The sequence below is a fragment of the Homo sapiens genome, chromosome 21 (assembly GCF_000001405.40).
Source record: "Homo sapiens chromosome 21, GRCh38.p14 Primary Assembly".
NCBI classification, from domain to species: Eukaryota; Metazoa; Chordata; class Mammalia; order Primates; family Hominidae; genus Homo; species Homo sapiens.
The window spans coordinates 15,829,055-15,845,206 of NC_000021.9; the positions used below are offsets into that span (position 1 = coordinate 15,829,055).

Here is a 16,152-nt window from a genome sequence, read left to right on the forward strand (position 1 = left end):
GTAATATTCCAACACACGGGTATGATGTAATTCATTTAATTCCCATATTGATATTTCCTAAATAGTGCTGGTCTTCGATATACATATTTATACACTTCTGTAAGTAGGATATGTTCTTTTTTATGTTCAGGGGTACATGTGCAGGTTTGCTATAAAGGTAAATTACATGTCTTGGGGGTTTGGTGTAAGATTATTTCATCATGCAGGTAATAAGCACAGTACCTGATAGGTGGTTTTTCCATCCTCACCCTGCTCCCACCCTCCACCCTAATGTAGGCCCCAATATCTGTTGTTTCCTTATGTCCACCATTTCTGGTTCAGAGTGTGTATATTTTAAATTTTGACGACTGTTTTAAAATTGTCACTCCAAAACATTAAACCAGTTTGCATTCCCACTGTGTGAGAGAGCCTGTCTCCCAGTATCCTCCCTAGCCCTGGACACTTTTTAGTAGTTTTTCACAATTGAAAAACTGGTATTTTAGTGTTTTGATTTGCATTCCCTTAGCTTCGAGTGAAGTTGGATATTTATATTGTTCTGTAAATTTCTTGTTTGTGACATTTGCCCATTTTTTAAGTATTGAGCTATTTGTATTTTTCTTATTACTTAATAGAAAGTTTAATGTATTGTGGATATTAACACTTTACCTATAATATCACATATGCTGCAGATATTATTTTCCCAGTTTTTCATTTGATTTTATGTTGGTTTTGTTTTCTTTTTATAATGTAGATTTTTTAAAGTGTTGGGCAGGGAGGATCTTATCTTTTCCTATAAGGTTACTAGTTTTCTGACAGGCTTAAGACAGGTCTTTCCCCACTCTAAAGTTAGCCAGTTTCTTTTATAGTTTTTCAAGGTTTCTTCCTGATTGGTTCAGCAGCTTCACAATATGATGTGGTTACAATCTAACCGTTTCCTTATTGACAGATATTTAGGTTATCTCTTTTTTAAAAATTATTGTGGACAATATGACTGTGAACATCCCTATCTGAACAATTTTGTAGGATTATTTTCTACTAGAAGTAGAAATAATTGTCATGGGAGTGCCATAATTTTATTTTCACTGGTGATTATAGTCGATTTTTATTCAGTTATGTGTGTGTACAAGATATGTGGTGAACATGTTTTACTTTGTTCTTAAGTTTACTTGTGTTATAGCAATATGTAAGGAAGCTTAGCTTTCATTTTCATTGAAACTCTCCTTTATAGATTTGAACAAAATTCACTTTTATTGGCTCTGCACATTTTCTAGATAAATCATATTTGTGTTGTTTTTAAAGTATGCATTTGTACTGTGTCTTTTATTAAGAATAACTATAATTCATTTTCTACAGATTTCAAATGGTAATGTTTTTTAAGAAAAGTTTTAGGAAAATTTTCCTATTCCTCTAACATGTTTGTAGGAAAAACATTAGTCCTTATCTTATAAGTAGAAACACATTTGCTGTTAATCATTAAATGACACCTTATATCCTTAGATTTGCAGGAAAGCATATCCAGAATCCATCGAACAATTGAATTAATGTACTCTGACAAATCTATGATACAAGTAAGTGAAATTTTGAGCTAGTAATCATTGTCAAAATTATTTACATATATTTTAATTTACCTTTACATTATCTTAATCTAATTTTTCTTTACATGTTTTGTTTTAAAATTTTGGCAAATCTTATTGTAAAATAATAAGGGCTTGCAATATGTACAATGTGACAGTTCATCTGAATGGGGAAACTTTTATAACAAATTTATAACAAAATTCATGACAAGTTTTCCCCATTCAGTTGTATTTTCACACCGTATGTGTTGTGTACCCTTACTATTTTACAGTAAAATCTACCAAAGTTTTTCAAAAGGCTATAGCATCTTTAAAAAGTCTTATGGGAGAAAATCTATGGTTGTTAAAGGATATTAAGATTTGGGAAGAAACTTAAGGACTCCATTACATTTTAACTTCTGGTGTATATCATATAATCTATTTTGTTAACCGTCAATTTAGAATTCTGAAGATGTAGACACATTTGCTATATGTAAAACTGCCCACTATAAGCTTTTTATTCAAATAAACAATTAGGCCAATGAGTATGTACACAATAAATACATTTTTAGTTTTTCAAAAATCATCTTTTTAATCTATCAACTTTGCATATCTTTAGCTTATTCAGATTCCGTCTTTTTAAAGTTTTATAGTTTAGTTTTTTTCAAACTTTTAAGCCCAGCCAGTTCTCTCTCATTTAAAAAAAAAAATGCTCTTATGGTTTTCTCCAAACAGGTTGTTTGTGGGTTTCATGGAATGTGGTATATAGTAAACTACATAATTGCAGTTTAACTCTTCTTTTTTTCACATTTAGGTTCCTTATCGATTACATGCCGTTTTAGTTCACGAAGGCCAAGCTAATGCTGGGCACTACTGGGCATATATTTTTGATCATCGTGAAAGCAGATGGATGAAGTACAATGATATTGCTGTGACAAAATCATCATGGGAAGAGCTAGTGAGGGACTCTTTTGGTGGTTATAGAAATGCCAGTGCATACTGTTTAATGTACATAAATGATAAGGCACAGTTCCTAATACAAGGTAAGAATATATAGGGTGGTGTGTATTTTTAAATAGTCATAAAAGTGGCTCTGGTATGTGGTGTGATTAGTTAAGTGTAATTCACTCAGACGATGAAGGATGTGGTTAGGAAATGCTACTGGGTTTTGACAAGACTGAATTGAAAAGTAATGTCGTCAGGGCTAAGAATTCGTATATATTTTGTATTCCAAGTCAACTATTAAAGGTAAATATGACCTTTTTCGTCCTTGCTAAAAATGCTTTAGTGACTGTTCCACAGATTGACTCACATTTAATATTTAATTCCTTAGCCTAACATATATGGCCTCTGTTCTTGGCCTCTGATTATCTCCCCACCTTCATTGATCACCAGTGTTCCTTTTGAATTTATATCCTTACTGAACTTCTTGCTGTATCTGCTCATATCAAACCATTTCACACATTTATGTTTGCATGTTCGTATATGTTTTATTTTTTGCTAGTAATTCTTTTGCCTAATTCTTGTTTATCTGTCAAGATTCAATTCAGGTGTCATTTCCCCTGCAAACTATTTCTTGATCTGCCAAAAAGTATCTCTCCTTATGCTGTCCTGGCATCTGTCTACTGGGCATTTACTGTTGTGTATTGGAACTGTGTGATGACTTGTCTTGCACATTTCTCTCTTATCTGCTCAGAGCCAGAGATCATGTCATACTATGTCTGAATCTTTTTAATGCTGATATTCTGATATATGCTTTGCATATAGAAAATAATAAAGGTTTATTGAAACTGATAAAAATAATCTTTTTATATTTAGTCATTCAGAATCAGCTAGGCAGTCCACTTCTGACTAAAAAAATGAAGTTATTTTTCTGTGTGTGTAGTAGAAGTTCAGTAATTCTTCTGAATACTCTATTGTTTTTAAGATCTTGCTATATTAATTTTCATAATTGCATATTTAAGTCTACTTAATTTCTTCATATGACAAACAATTTTCATTTTATTTTGAGCTAATAAGGTTAACATGATTATGAGTTGTTTACATTTTGTGAAAAGTTTTACTTTTTAAGTGATCAAACATCTGGTATTTTCCAATAGTGGCAGAAGTAGTATTACATCACTGTTAGAGTAGCAAAGAAAAAAAAAAATGGCCGGGCGCGGTGGCTTATGCCTGTAATCCCAGCACTTTGGGAGGCCAAGGTGGGCAGATCATGAGGTCAGGAGATCGAGACCATCCTGGCTAACACAGTGAAACCCCATTCTACTAAAAATACAAAAAAATTAGCCGGGCTTGGTGGTGGGCACCTGTAGTCTCAGCTACCCGGGAGGCTGAGGCGGGAGAATCGTCTGAACCCGGAAGGCGGAGGTTGCAGTGAGCCGAGATTGTGTCACTGCACTCCAGCCTGAGTGACAGCATGACACTCTGTCTCAAAAAAACAAACAACAACAGCAACAAAAAACTTGGCTTTGGCTTTGTATTTTCTGTCACTTCTACTCTTAAGATAAAAAAAAATCTGAGACCATTACCTATGATGGATTATCAAATATTTTCATCATTGTTTTTCTGAGCATTTGTTTGAGTTTTAAAAAGTTTTGTAGATAATAATTATTTGCTAAGCAATAGTAATTCTTAAGTAATATGATTGGCTGAGTGGTAATAATTCATAGTTTAAATTCTATTTGAAATGCAGTCTATTTTGAGCTTTGCATTTTCCCTTTAATTCTTAATTTTATACTAGTTTTTGAAATATGATTTGCAGAGGAGTTTAATAAAGAAACTGGGCAGCCCCTTGTTGGTATAGAAACATTACCACCGGATTTGAGAGATTTTGTTGAGGAAGACAACCAACGATTTGAAAAAGAACTAGAAGAATGGGATGCACAACTTGCCCAGAAAGCTTTGCAGGAAAAGCTTTTAGCGTCTCAGAAATTGAGAGAGTCAGAGACTTCTGTGACAACAGGTTTGTCCATTTTTATTAAGTTGTGTTTGATTATCAATATTATTTTTATAATAAGATATGCTCATTATTAAAAAGTTTTAGCTATCTTAAAGTGTGAGGAAATCAGTAGAAATCATTTCAAATTCCATCACTCAGATTATCACAGTTAACAATTTAGTTTACCTTTTTGCCAGACACCACTGTATATATTTATATGTTTTTCAAGATAAATGAGATAATTCTGTTGACTTTCCCTCTACCTACTCTGCCTGTGTTGGGTGGGCTTGAATTTTCTTGGCAAGTAGCAGAGAAAGCTGTGAAATCAGCAAGAAACCCAAACCAATTCACTAAAGCTATCAAGAGTATCAATTCAATAAAGCTATCAAGAGTATCAATTCAATAAAGCTATCAAGAGTAGTAATTTTAAATTTGGCCAAAATAATACTACCGGTATATTCATATATACTTTGTGCAATAGTAAAATACTACCATTAATAACTATTTGATGTTTTTCGGAATTCTTAAGATTAAGAGAAAATTGACCAAAACTATTTAGTATATCACAGGTAAAAAGTAAGTGTATAGACCTGTAAACCAAAGATATAAATGCATAAACATATAAATATTTAAAAACATTATTCTGAAATGAACTATTAGCTGATGAAATCAATAAGTCAAAGTAAACACTGTATAGGAATTAAGAAAATAGTTTCTAGTAAAATTGAAAATATATTGTCTTTTTATTTTCTTAAAAGATTACTCTTCACTGAGTTGCAAATATGTTTTAGGGCAACATGTTTTCTGGTATAGAAAATGCTATTTCTCAGAGAAGCTATAAATTAAGCGCATATATTTTCCTCAAACTCATTTGTCTCTTTTTATAACTGCTAGTGGATATTATTGAATAACTTTTTTTTTTTGCAAGATCTGCATGTTTTGTGTTTTAAGGAAGTAGTTCCAGCTTTTGTTTGTTTAATTTCATCTTTCGCAGACAGAGGTTTCCTTGCAGCATTACCTGGTTGGGCTTCAGCATTATCATTTGAACTTTAGAAGGAATTATTACTTCAATAGAAGATTGTTTTACAGTGCTACAATGTAGTATTGTGACTGTCGCAGGCATGCACAAATCTGTCCAGATACTTAACTTATTTTCATGTAGATCAAATAATTGTCGTTGATTTTGATCCTGAGAGGCAGATAATTCAGCATTTTTTAAAAAGATAATGGTATCACAGCAACATTTGGATACTACAGTGCTATGGAGAATACCACCATTATAGTGGCTGGTGAACTCTACCATTATGTAGGGCTGCACTTTTCCCCCACGTGTACAAGGCTACCGCGTAGAGCAGGTGAAGCTATGTGGGTCCACAACAATGTAGTTTTTAGTAGATGTCAAGAGGTATCTAAGCTCAAATCACAGTGTAGTAACTATATTATAGTTCCTTTCATTTTTAAAACATTTCTGTCCCTTTGTGATTTCATGCTTTGCATTCTGTACATATTCTTTCCAAATCACTCCTCAGAACCTGCCCCAAGATGGAGCTACTGTGTTATTGTTCCCTTAACATTTACTTATTCCATTCACATGTGACTATTCTTGTTATTAGTGGGAGGAAGGGGCTGCATAGTGTACTATAAGCAGTTGTGGTACCTAAGCTCCCAGACACAGGTGAATCCTCCATTCATTGGTTAAGCTCCAGTTTTATTCTTGGCTCACCTATATTTTGTGATACCAAAATATTAAGTTCTATATATCCTCCTCCTCTTCATCCTGTCTGTTTCTCATCTCTCCAAATTTTCAGAGTTAACATATTTTATTTCTGCTTAGTCAAACGAATACATATTTCCAACTAATATTCCTATCTATTAAGGACTAGCCTTGCCCCATCCTCATTTTACATTTGTCATCTTTTTTCTTTCTCTGTGAAAAGACCATGTGTGCATAACTGCATCCATTTTCATGATCAATACATCTGACCATACACTTTACATGGTGTTTTGTAATTTTTAAAAAATGCAGTACTAGGTATTGGACATATATTTTCATGTCTGTTTTTACCATGCAAAATAATCTTAGAATGTTGATATATTTCTGGGAGGAACCAGAATAAAAGATGAAGAGATGGAAATGGTCAATTCCTATTCCTAGATAACTTTTATAGTTACCTTTCAGCGTGGGTTATTTAGAAAGCAGTGGTAATACTACTTCTGTAGGAAACATTGTATCCTCCATAGACTTGACGGAAATATGCACTTGGTTTGAATTAGTAGAAGTAGAACATGCCAAGTCCATAAATTTACAGAGTGAGATTGTTGTTTAAAAGATTGGTTTCTATTACTGTTATCTTTGAGATTATATTAAGAAATTTGTTCTCTGTTGCAGGATAGTTTCACATATCATAATTGAATAAGACTAATGTTTCATTAGAACCATTTATTCCCTATTATTAATAGGGAAATTTTATTTTAATGTCCATGCCATCCTCTTCTGATTCTTCTCATGGTTTTCAAAGTAAGTAATTTAATTTGGTATAATACTTCCAGGATCTCAAAGCAAATCTGTATTTTAATCTCTCAGGTGTTCACTAGTATTACCAGTGACTAGTGGAAATAATAAAAGGAAATCTTGTTCATAAAATCCAACAGAATGATTTTTTTCCTCCCTGCAAAATCTTCTCGTTAAAGCTGAAACATAAGACCTCATAAAATTCAATTTCTACTGAGTGATATTCCAATTAAGAGTACTAATTCATATTATATTAATCAAATTAGTATTTGTTCCTCTTCTGCTAAAATGTGATCGAGAAATTCATGCGTATCAGTTCACCAGCACCATTCGTTCCCTACTGAGATAATAAATGATGGGAAAGTATTTTTTGGTTCATTTCATGCTGCTTCCCTAGATCTGCTTACTGCAAAGGCAAACTTACCTGAATACTTTTGTTGAGATTTTCAGCCAGCCATTCTTTGCTGTCAGTGTGGGGATCAGAATGAGTAGGGGAGCAAACTTACCTGAATACTGTTGTTGAGATTTTCAGCCAGCCATTCTTTGCTGTCAGTGTGGGGATCAGAATGAGTAGGGGAGCAAACTTACCTGAATACTGTTGTTGAGATTTTCAGCCAGCCATTCTTTGCTGTCAGTGTGGGGATCAGAATGAGTAGGGGAGCAAACTTACCTGAATACTGTTGTTGAGATTTTCAGCCAGCCATTCTTTGCTGTCAGTGTGTGGATCAGAGTGAGTAGGGGAGCAAACTTACCTGAATACTGTTGTTGAGATTTTCAGCCAGCCATCCTTTGCTGTCAGTGTGTGGATCAGAATGAGTAGGGGAGCAAACTTACCTGAATACTGTTGTTGAGATTTTCAGCCAGCCATCCTTTGCTGTCAGTGTAGGGAACAGAGTGAGTAGGGGAGCAAACTTACCTGAATACTGTTGTTGAGATTTTCAGCCAGCCATCCTTTGCTGTCAGTGTGTGGATCAGAGTGAGTAGGGGAGCAAACTTACCTGAATACTGTTGTTGAGATTTTCAGCCAGCCATCCTTTGCTGTCAGTGTGTGGATCAGAGTGAGTAGGGGAGCAAACTTACCTGCATACTGTTGTTGAGATTTTCAGCCAGCCATCCTTTGCTGTCAGTGTGTGGATCAGAGTGAGTAGGGGAGCAAACTTACCTGAATACTGTTGTTGAGATTTTCAGCCAGCCATCCTTTGCTGTCAGTGTGTGGATCAGAGTGAGTAGGGGAGCAAACTTACCTGAATACTGTTGTTGAGATTTTCAGCCAGCCATCCTTTGCTGTCAGTGTGTGGATCAGAGTGAGTAGGGGAGCAAACTTACCTGAATACTGTTGTTGAGATTTTCAGCCAGCCATCCTTTGCTGTCAGTGTGGGGATCAGAGTGAGTAGGGTTTTTTTTTCTGAGTGTGAACAGCACACCCTACCTAAGGCCACTTAAGAGACACTGGAGTCAGAATCTCTGGAGAAAGGATCTGATACAGTGCTATCTTAAAGAGATCTTCAGATAATTCTGAGGTTAAGCAGCATGGCTCTAGGCTGTATTTATAAAACAGAAATTATGCTGGAGAGAAGAGCGTTGTCCGAGTTACTATTTTACTTATATTACTCTTGTCTTATCCAAGAAGTATCTGAAGTCCTTACAATATAGCACACCCAGATTTCTTTAAAAAATAAGGAAACACTAGTGAAGATTGGAATGAAGTGTATTGCGTAAGGTTTTATAAATTTCTCTAGAGGAAGCAGGCAGAGTTGGCTCTGGAACTTCTCTACACTGTCTACAAGTTAAAAATAAGCTGATGTTCCAGGAGAGTACGGTTGGATCCTGAGAGTAAGACCTGGTAGAATAAACAGTATCGTCAGTGTTCTCAGATTCCTTGAAAGCAGGAACTAGGTGATATTCTTTTTTTTTTTTCTGAGACAGTTTCACTTTGTTGCCCAGGCTGAAGTGCAGTGGCATGATCTTAGCTCACTGCCTGCCGGGTTCAAGCAATTCTTGTGCCTCAGCCTCCTGAGTAGCTGAGACTACAGGCATATACCACCACACTGGGCTGATTTTTTTGTATTTTAGTAGAGACAAGGCTTCACCATGTTGATCAGTCTTGAACTCAAATTCCTGAGCTCAGGCAGTCCTCCCACCTCAGCCTCCCAAAGTGCTAGGATTACAGGCATGAAGCCACCATGCCAGGCCTGGTGGTGTTCTTATTTATATCTCCAGCATCTAGTATAATAAACGACATATGATAGATGTTCCTTGAAAGTTTTCTGTTAATAAGTTCATTCCCTATGGAGATTTCCAATAATGAATTTCTTAGGGGTGATCCTCAGTGTAGGAGAACATAAAATTTTAAAGTAGAAACAAAATAGTCACACAATAAGGAGGCAGGCCAAATACATGGGGTGAGGATGTAGCTCTTTGTCCCGGATAAATTTATGGTTTGACTCTGGTTTCTAAACCTCTCTCCCCCACACCCCTCAGACTTTCTTCGGAATGGGGCCCAGGAATCTGAAGTTTCAAAAATTCCACCAGCGATTCTATGCAACCACCTAAGCGTGGCTCTTTGTAGGCTCTTACAGGGTATTGTGGACTTTTAAATACATTTCTAGAAATGGATGCACTGTGTATCTCTCAAGCAGTCCGCTTTAAATCTTCTTCAGTGTGAACGTAATAAGTATTGACTTACTAGTAAGTCAAAAAAATAAAGACTTCTGAAAGATATCAGAGATGTTGGTCTTATTTTTATAGTTAAGAGCAACCCTTACTCTTTAATAGAAAGCCAATTGGTGGTAAAGTTGACCTTCTTAAAAGATTGAAGACCATAACCAGGAAATATGCATAAGTAAAGCACCCCCAAACCTCCTCAATAGCCTGTTTCAACATGAAGATGGACAAAAGGAGCAGACTCAGAGTTCCCTCAGAATGTTGAGTTGTCTTCTATAACAGCTAGAGAAGCATGGCCGGAAAATCACTCTGTGGAGGCCAGTCATTTGAAAATCCTAGAGAAATACCCATAGAACAGATGAGTGATTGGAGAGAGACTTTAGGAATAAGGATATTATTTACCTCCATAGAGAACTGGTCATTCATGGTGAAATGAGTGCATTTAAATTTTTTGTTTGTTTGTTTCCAGTCTCCCAGGGTTTCAAACCATTGTGGGTTTACCTACCGTGACTACAACACCACTCATCTAAGTTCCCTGGGAGGTATATACACAGGGAAAACCCTAGAGAAAATTGTTCTGTATGGCATTTAGGGAATTTATAGCTGTGGGCCACTAGTGATGGGGTTTTTAATAGGGTTAGAGGATGAACAACAATTGTATTATATGGTAAAAGCCGAACTTGTTCTGCTGTTGTTCCTAACACAGAAATAGAAATTACTAAAGTGTATGGTAGGGTATTAGTTGCGTGAGCCTTCCATACAGAACAACACAATATAACCAGTACATGTTACATTGAATAGAGAGTAATTCTTTTTGTTTAAAAATATGAGTAGGTAGGTACAGTCTGGAAATAATGTATCAGAAATATTAATAGTGCTTATCTCTGAGTAATGCAAAGAGTTTTAAATTTTCCACATTTTTCTTGTTTGTTCTAGTAAACATTTTTATTCTTTGGTTTGATAAATTGAAGACAAAACCTCTTTTTTTGTCTTCTTTGACAGTTTTTTTATACGGACTTTATTTTATAATCTGATTCCCTTGTAATTCTTCTAAGACCACTTCCCTGTGAGTAGCCTGTGTTTCATCTACACCAGATTACTCATCGTTTCTATTGCATATAGGAAATTTTCCTGTCATTATGGCATGTTCATGAAGTATCCTTCATCTTAAAAATGTTCTTTTATCTTTAGTGTTCATGAATTTTTTCATATTCTTTAAGATCTTCCTCATATCCCAGAGTCTTTGTGAGTTTCTCTGAGAGCACTTCTCTAGTAGCTATTGTCTTTTCCCTCTTAATTCCAACCTTTTCTTACTACCAAATGTATTATGTTCTTCTCTATTGTACTTATATTTTGGCTTGCCTTCCAGTGTAGAGTCTCATATATAGCAGGGATTTTATGAATCTTTGATCAGACCTTACAATGTGCTATTCCTTCTGCCTGGAATCTTTTCTATTCTTTTCTCCAAGATAATCCTCTACAAATCCTTCAAGACTCATCTAAGTTAGCACCTCTTCTAGAAAGTGTTTCTTAACAGGCAGCATTATCTCAAGTATGTGTATTGGGTCCACAGTGCTTTTATAAAACCTTGTGCGTAACTTTTATTGAATTTAGCACATTGTATTATAATAGAATGTATATTTATCAGATTTTACTCAGAGTTCCTTAAAATTAGTGAAGTATGTAATCTTTTTTGTTTTTTATATTTTTAATACCTAATATAGTACTGAAAATGGCACAGGTTCAATAAACATGTTGGGAATGCAATTTGAATTTTTTGTTTCCAATCTCCCAGGGTGTCAAATATTGTAGGTTCAACTCCCGTGACAACGAAACCACTCACTTAAGTTCCCTAGGAGGTATATACATAGGGCAAACCCCAGAGAAAATTGTTCTGTATGACATTTAGCCAGAAGCATTCAGTGTTACTCATAACGTTTTTGTACTCAAACTCCTTTATGGAAGGAAACCTTGGCCCTGGTGACCTAAGGTGGATTTGACATGTGTTGATCAGATAACATTACTCTTGGTCCTAAGAACCAATTTTACAAAGATTCTAGGTTTCAGTGGGTCATTAGACCAATGTCAGACCAGATGGATTTATTGCTTTAAGTTCACATCCAATTATTAACCGTTGACATTATCTGCTATGGTGAAGAGAGGAAGAGTGCCAAACACAAGGAAAAGTTTTATCAACAAGGAGTTTCTCTCCCAGCCCTAAAGCAGCTGGCATGAGCCACCTATCATGAAGTCTTCCAGAAGCAGAAGTATTGCTAAGCTGATGGTAGCCAAAGATTTTCTTTATCTATTACTCATGGGCATTGAAAGGCTATTGCAGTCCAAAATCAGGAAATGATTTAATGAGGACATTAAACTTCTTTTAACTTCTCTCCTTCCTTTTTGTACACATTGTAAGCATCCTCACCTCTGGTTTTCCTTATCACATAGTTTTACCTCCATGATCTTAGTTAACTCTGTCAAAAACTTGGTGTGTTCATGTGCAGTCTCCACACCTTTGTGTCCAAAATATGTCTTGATTCTAGCCAATTTTGTGTCCCCCTGTTGCTCTCTCTCTTAATCAGAAAGCACATTTATTTCTTTTTCATGTTGCTCTACTGCCTTCTATTACCTTCACCGATCTCTAGTTTTACTTTCCTCTCTAATTCGTTCTTCACAATATCCCCAGAATAATTTTTTAAAAACTGCTATGTTGCCATTATATTATGTACTATATTATATACCTGCATCATCTCTTGCCATTTCTCCACTCTCATACTGTAGTCCAGTCATATTATTCTTTTTTTTGAATGTAGTCCATGCTTACTGCATGGACTCTCCATTCTTCCACCTGGAAAAACAGCTCATTCATTATTCAGCTTAATAGGTCACTTTAGGTCACATCCAAATTGCTCACATCACTTCACTGCCATTGTTCCCATATAAAGTGTTATAATATTGTCAAAATTTATATATATGATTATTTGGTTAGTGGTGTTCTCCACAGATGACTGTGAGCTTCATGGAGACAGAGACTGGCTGCTTTGTCAGAGACTCACTGAGATAAACCCTTTAGGTCATGTAAGGATTTTGGGCTTGTCTCATCTAGGGAACACCCAGTGGATGTTCATTGTACATTGTTGGATATATAAGTCTGGAACTCAAAAGATGGATAGGAGATATCGTGAATTTTTATTGGTACCAGTTTGCCTTTCCTCTGACAACACTCAGCTACTGGGGCAAGTACAGAAAAGATGGAAGGTTAGGTTCATTCAGGGTTAAGATTTTGTCAGGAAGTGTGAAGGAAGATGCTGTGGCCAGAGAAAAATAGCTCCTGTGCACTCTATGGAAAGTCAGCCCAAGATTGCTGTTCAAACCAAATTCTTTTGGTAAAATGCTGGCAATTTTCCAAAATGAGCTTTTGTTATTTCTCATGGCAGAAAAATTTACTGTGAATTCCTTACCATAAACTATAATGAGAGCTTTCTTTCATAATTATTGGAGTACTCTTAGTTCTGGGTTTTTGTTTTTTAATAAATTCTGGGAAGAAGTGCTATACGTGGAAAGATATATTTTACTTTGAATGGAAGACTAAAATTGGTTCTTACATAACTTCAGACATAGAAATGAATAAAAGATTTATCTTAGTATAGACTCTGTGGTTTATATTAGATATATAATTGATTCTTTTCTCATGAAGCACAAGCAGCAGGAGACCCAGAATATCTAGAGCAGCCATCAAGAAGTGATTTCTCAAAGCACTTGAAAGAAGAAACTATTCAAATAATTACCAAGGCATCACATGAGCATGAAGATAAAAGTCCTGAAACAGTTTTGCAGTCGGTAAGAACTTTTCTTTTGGCTCTCTGAACATAGCCATGGTCACGACATTTCCTCCAGTATAGTGGAGAGGGACCTGTCAGGGAGTCAGGAGAGACGGGGCCCAGTGATGGCTCTGCCATGGGCATGATCAGTGACCATGGGCAAGTCATCTCATGCCCAGGCTGTGATTTCCTCAGCTGTGATTTTAAAGACACTTTTCTCTTAAGTTTCTGTCTTTCTGCTAGAGAATTCTAATGAATCATAATCATAGATTAAATTGACCATTTGATCTGGAACTTAAAAAGAGAAGTGTAAAATTTAGCAGTATTTCTCCTGTCTCTCACCCATTCCTCCATCTGTAATCTGATTACATGGGAATAGTTGAGAATTTAAGACCTAATTGTCATAATTTCATGAAATGTGTTTAACAATAAAACTACTAGATACTGTAGATTAGAGTATTATTTAAAACTACTAGATACTGTAGATTAGAGTATTATTAGAAGGATAAGTAGGATGTTGCAAAACTGTTTGTGAATATTTTAAGAACGTCCTGTGCAAAAACGTCATTAGGCTACTCTATTGTAGTTTTCAACTACATCTTTTTATAGCGGTAAATTGAGCATGTTTGGTGTTATACTGTGTTATCAGTGAATATGGCATTCTGAGAGAAGCTATTTCAAGAATTTGTTACTACTAAACCTTTTAGTTCCTGTAGTCATTTATCTTTTATTAGTGAGCATAAGCAGCTCTAATGCAGATTTTGTGGTAGTTCCTTTTAATATTTGAAGATTCCCCTTGACAACTAAAAAGAGTACGACATATCATAATTTTACAACACGTAATTTTCTGCTTAGTAAGTGAATTCAGTGCCAGCAATAACCTGCTAATTGCAATGAGGCCTTAAATATATAATAAGACTTCCTTTAGCCAAAATGTTCAAGAGATATGGTACTCTGTTAATTTTGTTTTGATGAACTAAATAACAATACAAATTATTTTTTGTTTGAACAATTTTGAAAATGTATTAATATATCATCTTATTAAAATGTATTAATTTAAATAGATATTTGATGATTCCAAATTTTGCAAATGCCTTAGAAGCTTTAAATGAATTTGATGTGAACATCACTAACTCTAAAGCTTTTCCTGGAAAATGCTTTGTTTAGTGGATCTGGGATGTCTGCTTCTTGGGTGATGGTAAGAGGAAAACCTAGGGAAGGAGAAAGAACAGAGGAGTAGGTACAAGGGGAAATAGTTTTGTCTGACAAAAACTGCATTTGCAAGGCCTCTGCTAATTAGAACTTTTATTTGTTAAAGGCCTAAATTATGATTAATGAGTGTCACTTTTTAAGCTGGTATTAGAAAACCAAAAGCATTACTTAGCTTAATGTAGAATCCTGATTTTAAGTTTGGAAAATCATATGGAATTTAAATTTGCAGAAGTCAGCTAAATTTTGATTGCTCAGCTTCATAATATGGATATCGTCTTATAAGGTAGCAACCTACTACCTCATCTTTACTTCAGAAAGGAGGATGACAGGGAGACTATATGATATAGACAAATACACTATTTGTCTATTCATTTAATTGTTTTCTGGAGTGGCATCCACAGTTAGCCCCATTGCATATGTAAATCCTGAAGCAAGTCTGAGAATTCATTAACCGTGGCTTGATCTTACAGTCAGTTGCTTAGCGTCATGGTAACTACTTCATAGCGGTTTTTTTCATTTAAACTTAGCGTACACTAGAAGCTAAATTGCACAGGTGAAAAGTATCTTCAGACTTTGGGATTAAACATTTCTGGATTTTGGAATATTAGTTTTATTTATTATGAATGCAACCTTGAATAAATTGCCAAATTTCTCCAGATAGACCTCAGTCTTCTTTTCCATAAAATGAAGGTAATTGTAGGATTAGTCAAGAGCATTATTTGTAAGTGCCTGGCATGGCATGTAGTAGGCACTGAGTAACTGTTGGTTTCCTTCTGTTACATCAGTCCTAGCCGCTTTTCAAATATGCAATATATTAAAATCAACTTTAATATAAGAAAAATTTCCTGGAAAGCGTAGAATCATGGAAATTAGAGAAAGTCTTCAAGTGTTTAGGCACCCTGCTTTTTAGAAAAATGTCTTTAATTTTAAATGGAATACTTAGGATATTTTCAATATAGAAGAGTAGACCCTGAGAAAAAGTCATGCATAGTCCCACTCACTACTCATAGTTAATTATTGTAAATATGTTGGTATTTATTTCACTTTTATTTTAATATGTAGATTTGGGATTTATTTTTATAGTTGAGTTGCATACAAAATTTTGTGTTGCCTTCTTTTAATCACTTACCTTTTATAACCATTTCCCCATGTTGTAAACTCAGTGAAAACATTTAGTGGCTGAGTATTATTCCATTGAATAATTAACTTCTTGTTTATGTATCTGCTACTCAATCGTATATTTGTGTCTACTTTTACATTATAAATAGGCTGCTAGAAATGAAAACTTTTTTCATATTTCAGGTTATTTCCTTAGAATAGATTTCCCATGCTAGAAATGAAAACTTTTTTCATATTTCAGGTTATTTCCTTAGAATAGATTTCCCATGGTTGAATTACTAGCTTAAAAGGTAAAGGCACATTAATGTGGCCGTGGACTTAGATAGCTTTTTTGTCACCCTTCTTATGAGACCA

At 35.0% G+C, this 16,152-nt stretch overlaps 1 protein-coding gene across 18 annotated transcripts in view, besides 1 other annotated feature; it reads left to right on the top strand.

Moving 5' to 3' along the window:
- Positions 1–16,152, top strand: part of USP25 (ubiquitin specific peptidase 25) — a 150,083-nt gene that overhangs the window by 99,073 nt on the left and 34,858 nt on the right. For 15 of the 18 annotated variants that reach the window (NM_001352560.2, NM_001388301.1, NM_001283041.3 and 12 more), the window contains 4 exons: positions 1,477–1,547; positions 2,347–2,575; positions 4,294–4,494; positions 13,344–13,486. In NM_001352560.2, coding sequence (NP_001339489.1) covers positions 1,477–1,547; positions 2,347–2,575; positions 4,294–4,494; positions 13,344–13,486 — 644 coding nt within the window. Of the gene's footprint in view, positions 1–1,476; positions 1,548–2,346; positions 2,576–4,272; positions 4,495–13,343; positions 13,487–16,152 lie in introns of those variants that run through there. The other 3 variants (NM_001388302.1, XM_047440749.1, XM_047440751.1) reach the window with 3 other exon arrangements.
- Positions 11,556–11,850: a silencer, noted in NCBI's record as "tiled region #15533; HepG2 Repressive non-DNase unmatched - State 15:Elon". NCBI's record gives its function as "represses a minimal TATA promoter and a strong SV40 promoter by Sharpr-MPRA in HepG2 cells {active_cell/tissue: HepG2}" and the evidence as "EXISTENCE:reporter gene assay evidence [ECO:0000049][PMID:27701403]".